The 18,111-nt window shown below is 37.4% G+C and overlaps 1 protein-coding gene across 4 annotated transcripts in view; it reads left to right on the top strand.

The window, feature by feature from the left end:
• GRM5 (glutamate metabotropic receptor 5) overlaps window positions 4,007–18,111 on the top strand; it is a 561,341-nt gene continuing 547,236 nt past the window's right edge. For 2 of the 4 annotated variants that reach the window (NM_001384268.1, NM_001143831.3), the window contains exon 1: window positions 4,007–4,213. The gene's annotated coding sequence lies outside the window, so the exon portion shown is untranslated. Of the gene's footprint in view, window positions 4,214–6,329; window positions 6,509–18,111 lie in introns of those variants that run through there. The other 2 variants (NM_000842.5, XM_011542792.2) reach the window with 1 other exon arrangement.

The raw sequence follows: 18,111 nt of genomic DNA, 5'->3' as shown, positions 1-18,111 counted from the left end.
TGCCTCACCCTTGGATAAGGGCTCTGTGTCTTCACCTGGGATATAAAGGAAGTCCTTTGCCCCTTGTGATGAGACAGTTACACATACACACACACACACTATATTTTGTGCACCCAGAGTGAAGATGAATATCTCTGTGTTTGCCATACATGTGTCAAGAGTCTGCTTGGACAGAGGACTTCATCTTGGAAAACACTGTCTAAAGGAGTTGTAGTTCAAAAGCACTAAAAGACTAAATACATTTCTTACTGTATTTTTTACCAAGTATCATAACAAAAATTAATTCACAGGGCTATATTTATAGGTCTGTCCTCCCTGAAGAATAGAGAGATGAATAAACATAGATTCATAAATAACAGCTTCTTTGCATTAAATTTCCATGGTTTGTCTAGATCTTAAATTGAAGCTTTATATAAGAGTGCGTAATATAAACAAGGTTCCTATTTTTGCTATAAAATCCCTGTTGAAGACATTGAGTTTTTAGGGACCATGTATATAAGGGTCTATATAATAGTACTAGCATTTAGTAACAGCAGCAATAATAAAATTCTTTCTATGAACAGACTAAATTTCTTATATTAGATAATGATATAACTAAATATTTTCTGGTAAACCACTTTAGTCAATGTGATAGGAGTATTTGTCATTTCCTTTTTCTGCATGGCTTTCTTTTTCCATTCTTAATAACATATATAATTGACTCATTCACGTCTAGAAAGTTTGCAGATTAAATTTAGTAAATAAAATTAGATAAAATTACCTTCATTTGGGAGTTGAACAAGCTGAGCTATAGTTAAGGTTTGTCAAGCTCTACTTCATCTACCCCGATGTCTTTTCAGTTTCTAAAGCACAGCAAATGTTGTTCTGCCTCAGAGTTTCCACATATTGTTCCCTCTGCCTGTAAACCCCCTTAATTTTCTTCCCACTCTTTGATCAGCCACCCCTTGTTGATCACATCTCTTAACTCAAACAGAAACATAGACACATGTCACATTTTTTGCATAATAATACACTTTTTTAGGTCTTGATTTAATATTTGTCTTAGAATTATTTTTAATGTCCAATTAAAACAAGATACCAGGCCCCCTCCTCATGCCCTGCTATTCTTTATAACTGTACCTTGTTCTTCATTGTATTTCCCATAAATTGTGACACATCAGTTAGTTTATTCACGTGTTCCTTACTTTAAGCCTCACAGGACAGGAGACGAATTCTATTTCATCCATCATTTTATCTCCAACACCCAGCCATTCCTGGTACATGATAGTTTAATAAATATTTAATAAATGGTATGAATGAATAAATTTAAACACATATGCACTCACACACATGTATGTAATAACTTTAAGTTTTCTAAGGCCAAGTAAGTATATGTTAATATTTTGTGTATCATTCTATTATAGTGTTTTGTACAGTAACTGGCAAAAAATAATAGCAATAATAAATGTTTAATGAGTGTTCATTAAATTGATAAAAACATTCAAAAATTTTTAAGCCACTTATAACCTTTTATTTAATAAGCTCAGATAACCACATACTTGCAAAACATTTAGAATTTGTATAACCCCCTTGAAGTCTAGAACATGAGCTAGCTAAGTCTGAGAATCACAAATGCAAAAACACAATTTAAGAAGTGGGTAAGTGTGCCCATATTCGGAAAAGGTGCTGTCACTCAGTAGTCTTTCAGACCTCCTGCAAACATTCACATGATTTACCATCAGTGTTGCCAACTTGTACAATGAAGGGCAGCATATAACAGGTATACCTCTATTTTCATAAATATTCATTTAAATATTCTAAATATTTATTGAGAGGACTTAGGCTTTTACTCAGTGAAATCAGAAGTTACTGGAGAGATTCGATTTAAGATAAATTCTTTAAAAGATCACTCTGGATGCTGTGCTGAATGTAGCCTGTACTAGTTTGGAATTTATTCCTGTAAGGCAGGTAAAAGATGATAGTTGATGGATTCAACAGGTTCTCTTTGAAGGTGGTTAGAAGTGGTAAGATTCTAGGATATATTTTAAAGGCAGAGCTAACAGGATTTCATGACAAATTCTCACATATAAGAAAGGACAGAAATAAATGGAGATTTCGAGTTTTAAGCTTGATCAATTCTGAGAATGACCGTGTTTTCCATTCTTTTTTTCTACTGTTCTACATAAGAATTAAAATATTTTGTTCATTAATAGATCATCCTAAGGCAAAATTTATACCCTTGAGCAATTTATAATCAGAACTTACTATTGGAATGTAAAACATTGTTTCTATATTCCTTTTAATTTTAATTTTGCCTAATTCAGCACTTTACAATTGTGAGATGAAGCTATATTTTAAAATGTCACTGAGCAATTTTAAGATTATATAATCACATTTTCCTTCTCATCTGAAAATTTTACTATTGTTCAACATGGAGAATGTCCTTCACATTTTAGCCTTTAGAGCATAGGAAGTCAATATTTATTGGTAAGTAGGTATTACATTTGTGGAGTGCTTTGTCATTTTTTTTGACATGCTTTGACATGTCTTATGTCATCCCACTCTCATCATCACACTGGAAGACAGGAGAGAAGGAAATTTGTGTAGGAAATTGAAAAGTTTAAGTGACTGAGTGGCCAACATGATATCTCCTCCTTTCCCATTCACTAATGTATTTTGATCCAGCTCCAACTGTTGGAGAAAAACTGGGAGCTTGGAGTGCCCTATGCTCACTCAAAGCTAAATGTCTCATACAAAAACCCAAATTTGACCTTATCTTTATTGTTAACGCTTCAGAAAATTGGATAAACAAATCACTGTATTCATCAGACTTAATCACATCACCAGAGTCATCTAGTCATGTCACCCTCCATTTTCTTGCGAACTCACTATTTTATGTATTTTCTCACCTATGCCATCTTTCTATTTTCTCATCTATGCCATCTTTCTTTCTTTCTTTTTTAATTAAGGAAGCTCACTCACAGCTTTCCTGGCCTCTCTCCAAAGTACTAAAACTTGTTTTGTGAATTGCAGTCAAAGAAATACAAAAAGTAACAATGATCCCATCAGTAGACGTGAAAATGCAAGAAGAAAGATGCCATTGTAAAACCCAACAAGGTGTGGTAGATACATCTCTTTTTCTTGTTGTTAAATCCTGAAGCTATCAAACAAAAACTTACCTTATTGACAAGGGTCTAGTGGAAAATCTAATGAGCATTAGTAATGAATGCACCAGCATCAATCCCCTTGTCTGTAGTGCACTCATCTTTTAATCTTTGACCCAGCTGCTGCAAGCACCTGGTTCCCAAAATTCAGCTAGGGAAATACAATGGGAATAATAATCATATTACTGCAATGTCTTTCTTTTCTTTAAATTAAGCTATGCAAGTAATTTATACCAATCGCCTTTTCAGAGGCAGAAATGAAGTCTGCTTTTGTACTTAAAGATAACCTCAGCATAGCTGACAATCCTGGGCAGTTATGGGGGTGGTGAAGGAAGGGAAGCAAAGTCATTTGAGAAAGTAAAGACATTCAACTGCCAACGAAGAATAAATTTTAACGGATGTAGGAAGAATCGTTTGTAAGAAGTGCAGAAAATGCAAAATGGTATTATTAATAAGTAACATCATTAGAGGCCGTTCTTTCTAACCAGTCACACCTCTGAATCATCTCGGGCTTCCCTGACTTCCTAGCTTTCTGTACCCTCCAGCAGTGACGCCCCTTCTCCCAATCATTGTCAGGGGTTTCAGTGCCATAGTCAAAAAGAACCTTATTATCTACCTGCTCCCCCAGCTTCTCTCTGAGTGACACACCACCCACGCCTCCTCCGCACAGCTTTCCTCCTCCCATGGCTCCCAGAGGGAACGTGAGGAGCAGGAGAGAGAGACCAAGGCTACCCTCGCCTGAACCCCGAAACGACGAGGCTTTAAGACCCTTATTCACCCACTGAGTCTATGCCCTGGCCGTTCTGCCAACCCCCGCCGCGCGCTGCGGGAGTATAAGCCAGCCCTGCGCTGCGCTTCCAGCTGCGTCTGCCCGAGCGCGGCACGTGCTCCCGGCGCTGGCGCGAGAGAGCGAGCGCCACCGCCGCGGGCCCCGCAGCCGTTCTGCCTGCTGTCACCGCTGCCTCCATCGCCGACACTAGCGCTCCAGCTGCAGCCAAGGCCGCTACGAGAGCGCAGGAAGCCCTCGAGGAGCGGCTGCCTGGGGGCGCAAGGCTCAGGGCGCGCACCTGGTAAGCACAGCGCCTTTTTCTTTCTCTTGGCTATAGTTACCACGGATATAGGATACCGCTGGAGCCCCTCCCCCAGTGCAGGGATGGAGAGCAATCAAGCAAGGGGCGGGAGCTGGGGCTAAAAAGACCCAGGAGGGCAAGTGGTGGGCAGGTGGAGGGCTGGTAGAGCCAGGAACGCTACGAGGTCCTGCAAGTTTAGAAAAGTCACCCTGCAAGGACGTGTGCTGTGTGAATCAGACATAAATTTAAGTCAGGAGCCTGGGCTACCGCGGTATCGCTCCAATGGGAGGTTTATGAAGATCATTTTGCTTTTATTTGCATAAGTGAGGGATTTAAGTGGGCTTGTTTCCATAGAAAACGAACTAAAAAAAAAAAACAGAGGAGGAAAAGATAAAGATCCGAGCCAAAGGATACGTTTGGATCTCTCTCTCTGTGTGTCTGTCTCTCTCTCTCTCCCTCTGTCTGTGTGTGTGTGTGTGTGTGTGTGTGATGCCAATACATGTGCACGAAAGGCAAGGATTTAGGAAGAGAGATGGGCTCCTCTATCTTTGAGCCCATTAGGTGTTTGAGGGAGCTAATGGCAGTTGCTGGTGCTTCACCCCAAAAAGAGGCAGCAAAGAAGGGACCCGACTGGGTGTAAATGTCAGTTTCCGTTTCTAAAAGGACTACAGTACTAGGAGGGAGAGGTTTTCTGGAACTGTGGGTCATGTAAAGATGGTACACCTGCAGCTCTGGACCTATAAACTCAAGTTCATATACTCCCAGTGGAGCTTGGAAGACATGTTTACTCTTGGTTCCTTTATGGAACTTTGGCAAAAATAATATCTCTCTCTCCCTCTCTCTCTCTCTCTCTCTCTCTCACACACACACACACACACACACACACAGAGAGAGAGAGAGAGAGAGAGAGAGAGAGAGAGAATATGAAAAATGAATACAGGGAAGAGAAGGGAGCTGAATATGCCTGAATAGGCTGAGTGGGGTAGTAGAAGGAACAAGAACAGGGTGATCGGGTTTGGCATCACTGCGTTCATTCAGTTCTACCCTAGGTAGTTCCTGGACAGATCTCTAGAGAAACATGACCTTGAACAAGCCCCTTAACCTTCATGTACTCAGTTTCTCTATTGAACAATGTAGAGGATCTTCTGCATTTGGGGACATGAAGGTCCCATGCAGTAGTGTCTATGTATGTGTTTGAAGATCTGCATACTAAGAAGTAAGAACACTCATAAAATATGGATAAAGGAAGCTTCAGGGGATTCTTCCTCAAAGTACTAAAGGCAGTTGGCAAGATCCTGACTGTGCTGTTGGGATAATGCATGCTGAGAGGTCTGTGGAAATGAGTGAGGAAAATCCAACCTCCAGCCTGTAGCTCAGTGAACTTGGAGTTCTGAGAGCTGTTTAGAAATGTTCAGATCCACAGAGCCTAAAGTCATATGCTATTTTTTTAGTGTTTTATTATTTATTTATTTTTATTATACTTTAAGTTCTAGGGTACAAACCTGCACGTTGTGAACAAGTCATATGCTATTTTTAAGGTTAGCATTGAGGAAGAAGGTTTGGTGGCAAGGAAAATAAGTGCCAATCCAGTTTAAAGATTAGGTAGTCAGGGCAGCAAGAAGAAGGTTTTAGAGTAAAACATAAATGCAATGTAATCTAGGCAGAGGGGTTAGGAAGAAGAAGATAATGGATATTCCCCCTGAGACAAGGATGTCTACACTCCTAGGAGACAACTGGGACCTACCATGTCCTTGACACTCCTTCCACCTGTCTGAGGAAGGCACAGGTGCCCTTTCTCACTCAATACAGGTTTATTCTTAGAATTTAGGGATTTGTATCCCAGGTGCTGAGATATGACGGTAAACATGTGAAAAGTAAGTCCTGGGAGTGCCTCCAGCTCCCTTGCCATGTGAGCATCTGTTGACAGAGCTGGTCTACCCATCCAGATTCACCCAGGAGTCTATGTTCCTAAAGGAACTCACTGTGCCACTTGGTGGCACCAAAAAGTTGCGCAAAGAACTCTGTTCTCTATAAATACAAACTACCACCCCTCCCTCCTCCGCTCTCTCCCCTTCCCCCCATCCCCCCTTTCTCAGTAGCGGGGAGATTGCTGCACACGCCGCCCTCAGCTCGGCTGTTCTGCGCACGCTGAGCGGAGGGAATGAGCTTGAGATCATCTTGGGGGGGAAGCCGGGGACTGGAGAGGCCGGCTCTGCCCTGCTGATCCCCGTGGCCCAACTTTTCGGGGGGCTAGCTAGACCGAGTCTCACTGCTCGCAGCGCAGCCAACAGGGGGGTAAGCTTGCTAAGTGTCTGTGTGCCCAAGTGTCCCCTGGCCAGAGAAGGATTTAGGATCTATAGGCTTGCTGAGTAGCTCATAGTGTGGTTTGGGGGAGGGGGACGCGGGTGGAGCAGGGGTGGCCAAAGCCGACAAGATTCAAGTCTGTTCCATTTGCGAACAGCCTTAATTAAACCTGTTGGGGAAAAAGGCGCGAGCAATGGGGTGAAGGAGGGAAGAGCTGCAAGGGTTGAAAAGGAGATTCTGCATGCCTTCGCATCCGAGTTCCCGCTCTCTAAGGCCAGGTGCGCGTGGTTTCGAATGCAGAGTGTGCTCCCACAAACCACCCGAGGGCTCGGAATTGTGAGAAGCAAAGGTGGAGAGGAAAAGAGGACAGAGAATTGCTTTTCAATAGATCTGTTAGGGGCCGCTTCGTGGCGCCTGCTGCAGGAAGAGGGGGGACAGCGGGTGGTGCTGAAAGCACATCTCTTTCACTCAGGCTATATTGCCTCTCTTTGAACACCAGCCTGAGCCCTCCCGCTCTTTCCTCTTCCATGGATTTATCTTTCCCCTCGAACACAAAGCCTGCTAGTTATCCCACGGCGGGGGCATGAGCGGCATGCCAAGGAGGAAGCCCAGGCTACAGCGACTTAGGGAAGAAAACCCAGGGCAGGCCCGTGAGTGCGGAGGCTAGCCGGTGGCCCGAGCCCAACGTGCATTAGGACCTCTCCAGGGAAGTGACAGGTCCACCTGGAGGGCTCTTTCACCTGGTACTCGAATTTACAGCTGCCCTCATTTCCTTTCAGAGGAGTTGCTGTGTGGAAGGGAAATTTAGGAGAGGATAACAAGCGCTTGTGCTTATTTAGACACAATCTTGATGCTGCCTTAGCTGGACTGTTAACATCGAGTAACCAAGATAGGGTCTCCAATACTTTACTTTTTCAATAAGAAATTGATACAGACCAGTGAGAAGGCAGCTTCTCCTTTTCACCTTCTTCTCCATTCGCTACATGGGATTTTATTGTTCAGAGTTTCTCAGGACAAAGCTAGAGCTAATTTGTGTCTCTAATCCTGGGCACTGGCCATTTGAAGCAGCCAAAGGTGCATTGACCAGGACTACGTGCAGCCCTTCCTCCAGTGGGACATAAGCAGGGGTTTTCTGTGGAAGTCTTAGTTGCATGACATTCTACTGTCAGCTGTGGAGTGTTCAGGTATGCTACCTCTTGTTAGGTGTGCTTTATGCTGTTTTCTTTATGGAGTGCAGGGAGTTTCCTCCTTTAATTTCTCAGTTACCTCAATGTAATTACACATGTAAGAATCAATTGTGGCTATTTCTGTCCTTTATGCATGTTTATTTCCATTTAAACATGCCATTGGTTTAGGACTTGAAAATACTGCGTCCTGAACTCATTGGGTTAGTAGTGTGCGTCCCGTCAAATTTCCAGCCTTCTCCCTGTGAAATCTTGTCAGCACTCTGGACAGATCTTTCAAGTTTCTTAGGAGAAAAATGTACATAGCACTTCCTAAATAACAGCTTCTCTTAAGAGAAAAAGCTTTCTCTAGTCATTTACACTCCACATGACAAAATATACAATCTAGATATTTTAATTGCACCCCTAGAGGTTTGTGCTATCACACGGGAATGTTTTGGCTGCGGGCTACACACTCACAAAAAGCCCAAACTCTTCAATGTTCACTTATGAAAGGATGTGTCGAGATGATTTGGGAGAGGGAGTTGGTATCTGAATAATCCAAGTTTTTCACTTTTCTTCCATAGGTAGACACAGGCCTTTACTATCACTTTATAGTATACCTTATGGACATGATGACAAACACCCAGGGGGAAATTGAAAAATTCACTCATATCTATTATAACCAACCAGCAAAAACTATCCAGACTTTGGGAATACTTGATTAACTACATACCATTTTTAATTTTGGCTCTGATTATTAACATTGTTGTGTTTCATGTTAAAATGACTTACCTCATCAAAGGTGCTCACTTTTGTGACTAAAGCATTTTAATAATTCTACTTTTCTTATTTCTTTCCAAAACCCATTTAATATTTTATAGGAGTCTTACTATATTGTCTTTTACAGAATGATCATTTTGGTTAGAGAAACTAAATTAAGTGTCAATAAAATGTAGGTGGTACTACAAGTAGAAAATGTGAGATGAGGTTGATCATTAAAAATATTGTATTTATTTGTATACCAATTTTATCCCAGGTTTTCTATCCTCATGGGATGAAGACAGAGCTATATACAAATGTTTTATCTTACACATTCTTATTGTATTATGTATACGTACATGTGAGGTACTTTTATGTGTATCTCGATATAGATAGATAGATCATGTATAAACCAACTTTATAAAATATTAGATACTACTTTTTATATATGTTGATATACATATATGTTATATGATAAAGCTGATTTGGCTGGTTTAGAGGTTGGATATATTGAAGATGTATTATTACAAAGCAGGAAGATTCTGCACTTTAGAAATATGTGTTATGTGTTATATTCATATTCAGAGAAATATTAATTCTAGTCATTTTAGTCAGTGAGTGAAGCTTAGGAGAACATAAGAAGACATGAGCATCAAAAGAAATATTTTTAGTGCATGATGTATTTATATAACCCAAGAAAAGAAACTTCAATTTTTAGTTTTGAATTTTCAATTATTTGTAAATGAGATAGTATCTTGATATTCCTTTATCTTAGTTGTTTAAAATGTGTTTCTAAAAAACATTAAGGCATAGGTTTGCTTTCATTTCCTTTAAATTCATAGGAGATGAAAATCTATATTTTACCTTTCTGAATCATCTTTTAACTATATATAACTTTTGTCAGAAGGGCCATCAGGCAAAAGTCTTGGTGCAGACTCATCCCTGCTCTAATAACTACTATTTATTAAGCACGTCAGGCATCATGCTAAGCAGTAGGTATGTTATTTTATTTAATTATCATATCAACAATACAAGGCATTATTTGTTTTTCCTTTTCAGTTATAAAAACTACGTTTTTTATTCTACTGTCAAAGAACAGTGCATAGTTTATGCAGTGTTCACTGTGGGTCACTTTATTTTTATTTGTGCAATTAATTCATTATACTTATTCAATAACATGTACTGCCATAACCCATCCCCCATTTTCAAAATAAGGAAACATATATTTCATTCATATATATGTGTGTGTGTGTGTGTGTGTATATATATATATATATATACCATTTACCATATATGTAAAAGGCAAAAATAATGGAAATATATATACATACATACGCAAAAGAGAGAGATTTGATTTGTTTGGCACTAAAATTTACCGTGTTTCCTTTGTTTTGAGCTGCTTTACTCTGTGGTGTGGCTAAACAATAAACATTATGGGATTATTTTACTGTGGTTTCCAGTGAGTTGTAGTATGTTGGAAGTACAGGCTCTGGCTTCAAATTGCCTGGGTTTGAATCTCAGCTTTGTGGCTTACTACTTGTGTGACCTTAGGCAAGTTACTTAAATTTATGTACCTTAGTTTCACTATTTTCAAATTGGGGGATGGGTTATAGCAGTACATGGCATGGAGTGAATATGATGAATAAATTGCACAAGTTAGAAAAAAAGCAATAGGTGCAGAAGGAAAACCACCATGGCACACATAGACATATGTAACAAACCTGCACATTCTGCACATGTATCCCATTTTTTTTAGAAGACATAAAGAGAAAAATAAATTAAAAAAATAAAGTATCTGACCCATAGTGAACAGAGTGCAAACTATCAATCCTACCCAGGCCTTTGGATGTCGAGTTTTCTGCGTTTCCTATGTTATTACATTTAATGTTCAACTGCCCTATGGATTGTGTCTTATCTTTATTTTATGACTTTAATGATAAAACATAATACTAACATAGATTAAATAACTTGTCCAATGTCCCACAGTACAAACAAAGGTGACAAAGCCGGTATTTAAATCTAGGATCATCTGATTTCCAAACTTTTATGATACTGACCTACAGCTTACAAACATATATCAATTTTTTTGAATTCTACTAATTTTGAGTCAGCATCCCTTCCTCTGCAAAGGAATGTGCAAATATCTACTTTTCTCATATATTCAAGAATATTTTAAAATAAACATGCAAATGCTTGAAGATAATCAGAAATCAAAATAATACGTAATTGCTATCTCAAATATCTCCTTTTTTAGTCAGACTGTAGAAGAAGTGTAAAAGAAAGACTTAGATGCAAAATATATATTTTCTGTATATATTATTCTATTGGTCTTGCAAATATATCAGATTCAAGAAAAATTCTCTAATGATTAGTTGTTCACAATAATGCTGGTTCAGGCCATGGGTTTTAAAATTTTGAGTATAAATGTTCTGAGGAAAATGAAAACTTGTAATCACAGTGATAATAGTGAGCACTTTAATAATGCAACCTTCTTACATTCATTATATTTTACAGAAGAATAATCAAAAATATTTTTTGAAAAACAATTTGTCTAAATGCATAGTAATGTAGAATTATTCAAAGACATAGAAGTAAATAATACACTATTATATCATTTGTTTAAAAATAAATAAAATGAAAAATCAACATGTAAATTAATTTATAAAGTTATCGTTATTGTTGCAGTCTTGTTAAAATTATAATAAACTTTGCATTTCCTATCAAGAACAGCCTTTGAATTCGGGAAGTATATCGTAGGATACTCTCCTCACATTCATTTCTTGTAATTTGTGATACTTAGAACTATGCATATTTAATGTAAGGTAATATCAACCTTGACTCTTAAAGCTTAAATTTGTCTTTCTCAAATTGAAATTTCTACCTTTTCAACAAGATAATACAGACAAATAACTGCATAAACATTGAGTAAGGCAAGCCTATTTCAACCGTCTCTCCTTAGCATTATTTGGAAGTTTCAGGTAGAGAATTTCTAAGACTGATGGGTCCAGATGATTGGCTCTTAGGTATGCTCTTCTTTCATGACTATGTCGATCTTGCCAGGATTAACTTTCATGTAAATTAGTGTTTTTCAACTGGAAGTGACTTTGACATACAGGCGACATTTGCTAATATCTGAGGACGTATTTGTTTATCAGAGCTGGGAGGGGATGGCATTGTCGTCTAGTGAACAGAAGCCAGGGGTGCTGCTAAACAACCAACAGTGCACAGACAACATCCGCCCACAACAAAAGATTATCCACTCCAAAATGTCAATAGTGCTCAGGTTGAGAAACCCTTATCTAAATGATGCTAGGAAACAGAGTTTCCTATATTTACTTGATTTGTTTGTATGCTTTCTGATGAATTTATGTACGTTACATAAGAATTTAATGGAAAGCAGAATCTCCAAAATGCTTTGCAATCAATGCATGAGGTTTGAATAACCAATTCACTTGTTTTTTTTTGTGGGGAGACCTCATTATTTGTTTATTAAGTTTGGGCTTTGGAGCCAAATATAGTTGGATTCATGTCCTGGTTCTGCCATTTATTGTAGGTTTGATACTTTGGAGAAGATTCTTGACCTCTAAACTTCGATTTCTAGAGGTAGTAACATAGGTAGTAATTATACCTACCTTACAGGGTTATTGTGAGTCTTACATTAAATAATTATTATACATTATTTAACAGAAAGAAGGCACTTTATAAATATTATGTATTAATAAGTAAGTGGAGATCATGTTATAGAAATGTAAAACCACGGTCTCAAGCATTTAATGATATGTAATGTAATATATAAATAATGATTTACAGTCTTCAGAGGTATACCCTTAATAACAAGAAATCAGCTGAAGGCTACAGGATGTGTAAAAGTCTAAAATCCCTGCTTTATAATTAAACTGAGACTAGTTAACAGTGGATTGCATCATGTTTATTGCTTTGCTGCAGAAGGCTGTTCCAGGTCTTCATAGACTGCTAAACCACTTGTTTAAATGATTTACAATGATTTAGTGAGCTCTATTGAACTGCCAGAACTTTTTAATTAATGGATAAAATTACAGATTTCATCTTTGTACAATAGTGTTTTATGGCCCTTTTTTTGTTGAGGGGGTTTCAGTTAAAATATGGCCTATATTTTGTGGGGCTAAACAGTGGGGATGCTGCATTTTCTTGTTTACAGGGTCACAAATGTGTGATTGAGATAGTAATGACAATGGAGCTTTCCTCAGACTACAGGGTTCTCTGTATCATTGCACCTCAGGCTGTCTCTTATCTGTGGTATGCACTTGTTTTCAGAAAAATATATCAGATGCATTGATGGCATATGCAATATTGACAGCCCTGACTGTTTGTGATGAGGCCACTGATCAGGCAGAAGAAATCATTTTAGTGTTTATGTCCTGAGCTGTGTGATTTGCTTGTGTGGAGATTAAGTTATATAAGAGACATCTGTGCCAGAAAGATGGTCAGTATTTTAGAAGATTGTTGAAAATAAAGGACAATGTGAGCTGTGAATCTGATTATATAGTGTAGATTGCAATTTATGGCAAAGTTTATCCATCAATATCTCTTTTTCATATCATTTAGGATATAATATGAGAGTGTGTGGTTACCTGATGTGAAATACTTTTGTATGTATTTAAAATATGTCTATTGTTTTCTATAATGTGCTAGTAATTAATTTACTCTGCTAAGGACCCACAAATATAACACTGAGTAAAGCATACTTCTGAAAATAGGTACTTGAACTAATATACTATATAATCAAACTATTAATACATTTACCCACTTTTTAGTGAATTAAATGTCACCATATTATTAGACTGTAGATCATAACATTTTAAAAGCTTTTTTATCATTACAAGAATTAATGCCTCCCCATTATCTACAGGATAAACCTGCCCCTTTATTTCTACTGACATATTATCCCCACCATCTAAAAGCTATAACCTAAAGAAAATAATTTATTTTACTTGAGAATTTGTTTCCTACTATAAGAAATTGGTGTTCTTAGACATTTCTAGAAGTATTATTTTTAGGTAGATGTGAGATCAAGAATGAAAAAAGGCTCTTTACGCTGAAAATAAAGTATTGTGGTATTTTTCTTCATCTTTTCTTTTACTAGACACTTGTTAAAATAATGAATGAATCTTGTGGTGACGTTGCACAGGAGAAATCTCACCACAAGGAGAAATGGCCTTACTCAGGAACTTATATAGAAGCAAGAGAGAGTAGATCCTCACAGAAAGAATATTGGATAGTTCTCAGAATTGATGATGTTAATGAGACAGATCTTGGAGTGAAGTTGATATCATCTTTTATATTCTACATTCATCAGTTGTAAACCAGGAGAAACATTTATGCCAGAAATATCATCTTTAAATAATTGTGCTACAAAGATACTTTCAAAAGCAAGCAAAATGCAACATTGTTTATGATATTAAGACAAATCTATAAATAACCTTAATATCTAACAATAAGGAATAATTAAATATTGGTACACACATATAATTGAATGCCATGCAACTGATAAAATTAAATAAATGTTCTAAATGTGACTCTTGGCTCTGGTACTACCCACTTGCTTGGGAATCTGGGCCAAGCCTCTGTATCTCTCTGAGCCTCAGTTCTTTTCTCTGTAAAATGTGCATACATAACTTATTTTACAGTTTGTATGACAACTAAATGTCATTTCATGTGAGATACTTAGCAAAGTGAACAACACATGATATGCCCTCTGTATATTTTAATTGTTGTTATAATTGTCCCCATCATCCAAATGAACTTATATGAAAGATATTTATATTATACAAAGAAAATAAAAATATATTATGAGAGAGATTTCATATTAAAATTTTATTTAAATAAAAAATAAAATATTATAAGCTTTGAAAATTATATAAGAGCTGATACCAAGTTGTAAACTATGATTAAAATTGTGTTTTGAGTGACATTTTGTTGAATTCAAGTCCCAGGTCTGCTATGAATCATTTGCTTTCCATGGATCTCAGTTAAATGGAATCATCTCCAGGGCCCTCTCTAGTTTTGTGATGCTATTTTCCTTAAACATCCTACAATATTAGCTTGGTAATGAATACTATAAGAAAGTATAAATAAATTGCCATGTGAGCTTGGAGGATAGAGCAAACACTGCCAGGTGAGGGATATGGTAATAATTTAGGAAGGGACTATTTTTAAATATTAGCTTATTCAATACTCACTAAAACTCTTTGGGGTAGGTACTGCTGTCACTCCAATTGCCAATAAAGGCATGAGGCTCAGAGAGGCTAAATGCCTAAGGACACACCGCCAATAAATGGCTGTGCCAGGATTCCAATTCAGGTCATTGGACTCCAAGCCCATGCTCTTAACAACTCTGCTATGAAGACAATTGGAACAACTGCATATCAGGGATCAGAAGCAGCATGTGCAAAGCCATTGGAATAAAACAGTGTATACTTGGACAAGAGCCTAACTTGACTAATAGGCTCCCAAGGAGGAATGGATGGAAGGAGATAAGGTCTCAAGGGAGAAAGTTGCAGAAATTTAGAAAGCATATCCCTCAGTTCCAAATTAAAAATACTAATGATTAGCAAATATGTTGTATTACTATATTTATAAATTTAGAAAACACAGATGAAGAAAATAAAATTAAAAGTACTATATTTTTACTACCCAGAGAACACTCTATTAATGTCAATGTATATGTTTCCAGTCTTTATGTATGCATACATGCCCACCCATAATATTTCTTGAGAAAATCAAAGCATACCGTCCCTTTATTTCTGCATGATACAACATGAATACTTCACATTTTACTGCTTCTCTCTCCTCACTTCACAAAAGGAAGTTTCTATTCAAAAAATCGTTCAGTCTCCTTTGCTGATTATTCCTTACCATTGAACCTTGGAATTCCCTGGGGCACAACCTCTGGCACTAGATTCTTTTCTCTTTCCACTTCCTCGGTGATTTAATCCAGTTTCATGGCTTACAAAAAGGACTTCTGTATACTCACACCTTCACATTTTATCTCCTGTTCAGACCTCTCTTCAGAATTCAGCCCCCTACATCTGCCTGCTCATTCAATGATCTCTTCTTGAGTTTCTAGTATGTGCAACTTGATATATCAAAATTGAACTTATGTTGTTTTGTTGTTTCCATCCACATCCTTGCCGCCGCATTCTCCACCACAGCCGATGCGACTCTATCCTTTTTGTGTTCGGGCTGAAAATCTTGGCGTCCTCATTGATTTTTCTCTTTCTCCAACATCCTACGTCAGCTCTAATAGCCAATTTGTTCACTCTACCTTCAAAATATATTCAGAATCCCAGCAGTTCTCACCACTTGTACTTACCGTATCTCCAATCCAACGACTATCATCTCTCTCACCTAAGTTAGTGCAAGTTTCCTAATTTTCTCTTCATTTTCTGCCTTCGTGCCCTTATTCTTGTTAAAATTTTAGGTAGAATGTGTTCCTCCGCTGTTGGAATCCTCTCAGAAAAACGTTCTCATGAAATGTTAAGGCCAAAGTCTTTTAAAGTCCAAACAGGTTCAACATCACCACATTACCTCTTGTTCTCCATGTCTTCCTTTCTCTGCATTTTAACTTTTCTACAGCCACATGAGGCTGTTTGCTACTCCTCAGCACACTAAATATTAAGTCTGTCTTAGGGGCTTTGTATTTGCTTTATCCTTTACCTGGAATGTTGTTTCTCTAGAGATCTGCATGACTCATTCCTTTAATTCTTTTAGCTATTTACTCAAATGTTATTTTTTCAGTTTATGCTTCTTTGGCCACATTACTCAAAATTTCCTATATCTCTGGCACTTTCTATACTGCTTCACTGCATTTTGTTTTTTTTTTTTTGCTTTTAAACACTCAGCACCATGTAGCACACAATATTTTACGTATTTATTTTGTTTCTTGTCTCGCAAACCCTCTTCGAATACAGGCTCCATAATGATGTGACTTTATATCTATTTTGTCCATAACTGGATCCTTGGGGCATAGAAGGGTGTGCTACTGAATAAACATTTATAGAAAACACATGAGTGATGCTGATAGATTTGATGTATTCCTTTCAGGTCTATTTGGAATTTATACTCTATGTATTTCTTGTATTTTGATTGCACGTAAGATGACTTTCTATTTAACCTTATAATAATCTGAGTAATGGCACAGTTCTTTCGCATTTCTATGTCATGATTTTTTTAAAAGTGTATTCCAGGTATCTAAGTTCATAGCTAATATCTGCCTCATCAGATTAGGCTTCATAATCTGATGAGCTATAATTTGGGGTGGATATTCAGGCAATGTAAATACACTTGTACTAGATAACCTACACACTGTACCTTCTGTGTCTCTATGAGCTGAATCATCTTTTCCCTGGAATGCTCGTTAATGTATAGTTTGAAAGGCAACTCCTGTAAGATTCTATATCTCTTGGATGTTCAAATTGTGTCTGGGTGGCCCTTCTTGTTTTCATGGACATTGGTAGTATCTTTCATTTTTTTGGTAGGAAGGGGCTGTGAGGCAGCAAGAAATAGTTAAAACAATGTGTTATAAAGTCAACAGGCATAGACATAAATTCTAGCTCCATTATTTTCTAAGTGATCAGCTAGTTTTTAACTTATCAAAACCCATTACATCATTTGTAAAATGAAGGTAATAAAATAATACAGTTCAAACATCCCAAATTCAAAAATTAAAAATCTGAAATCCTCCAAAATTGCAGCATGTTTGAGTACTCATGTGACACTCAAAGGAAATTCTTATTGGAATATTTCCAATTTCACATTTTAGGATTTGGAACGCTCAAGCAGTAAGTAAGTGTAATGTAACTATTCCAAAATCTGAAAGATTCTGTATCTGAATTTTGGTCCTAAGCATTTTGTGTAGGGGTTGTTCAACCTGTACCTACATTTTAGAGTTGTTATAAGGATTCTTGGTATACATATGCCACACATACAGACACACTCAAAAACATAGCCAATGTGTCAGAAATCTTCAGTGTATAGAATGTACATGGAATATAGTATCTTCCATGTGAATCGGATACGTTTTTCTCTGAAATATATAAGTCTTGCATATGTCTTTAAAAATAAAGTACCTAAAACATTCTTTTTTGCCCTCTATGACGTCATTTACTCTCACTTTATCTTACTTTTTGGGTTGACTCCTTTTCATAGCTGGCTTTTCCAAAATCTGGCCCCTCAGCAGAGCTTATTTTTTAGCTGTACCTTTGCAATATTTATACTTCCTCTCCAGGCGATTTCATGCATTCTAAATATTTTATATATTGATGACCCTCAATTTGCATGTCTAAACCAAAACTCTCCCCTGAGTCCAACCTTACATATTCACTTTCCTGTTTGACATCTTTACATGGATATCTCCAAGGCATCTCAAATTTTGCATTTGCAAAAGAAGATCATTAATTTTCTTCTGCCCCTCACGTGTTTATGTGCTAGTCTACCCTATCTGTATTAATGCTGTCAAAATGCACTAGGCTGTCAAACTAGAAGCTAGGAGTAGACCCTGATTCCTCTCTCTACCTTACTACTCACATCTAGTCTATCAGCAAATACAGTTGATTCAACTTGGAAAATATATCTGACTGTGACCACTTTTCTCAATATCTACTGTCGCCAATCATAGAGAAGTCACCATCA

Source organism: Homo sapiens, chromosome 11 (genome assembly GCF_000001405.40).
Source record: "Homo sapiens chromosome 11, GRCh38.p14 Primary Assembly".
Lineage (NCBI taxonomy): Eukaryota > Metazoa > Chordata > Mammalia > Primates > Hominidae > Homo > Homo sapiens.
The sequence above is the reverse complement of the archived record's forward strand: the minus strand, read 5'-3'. Positions and strand labels throughout refer to the sequence as shown.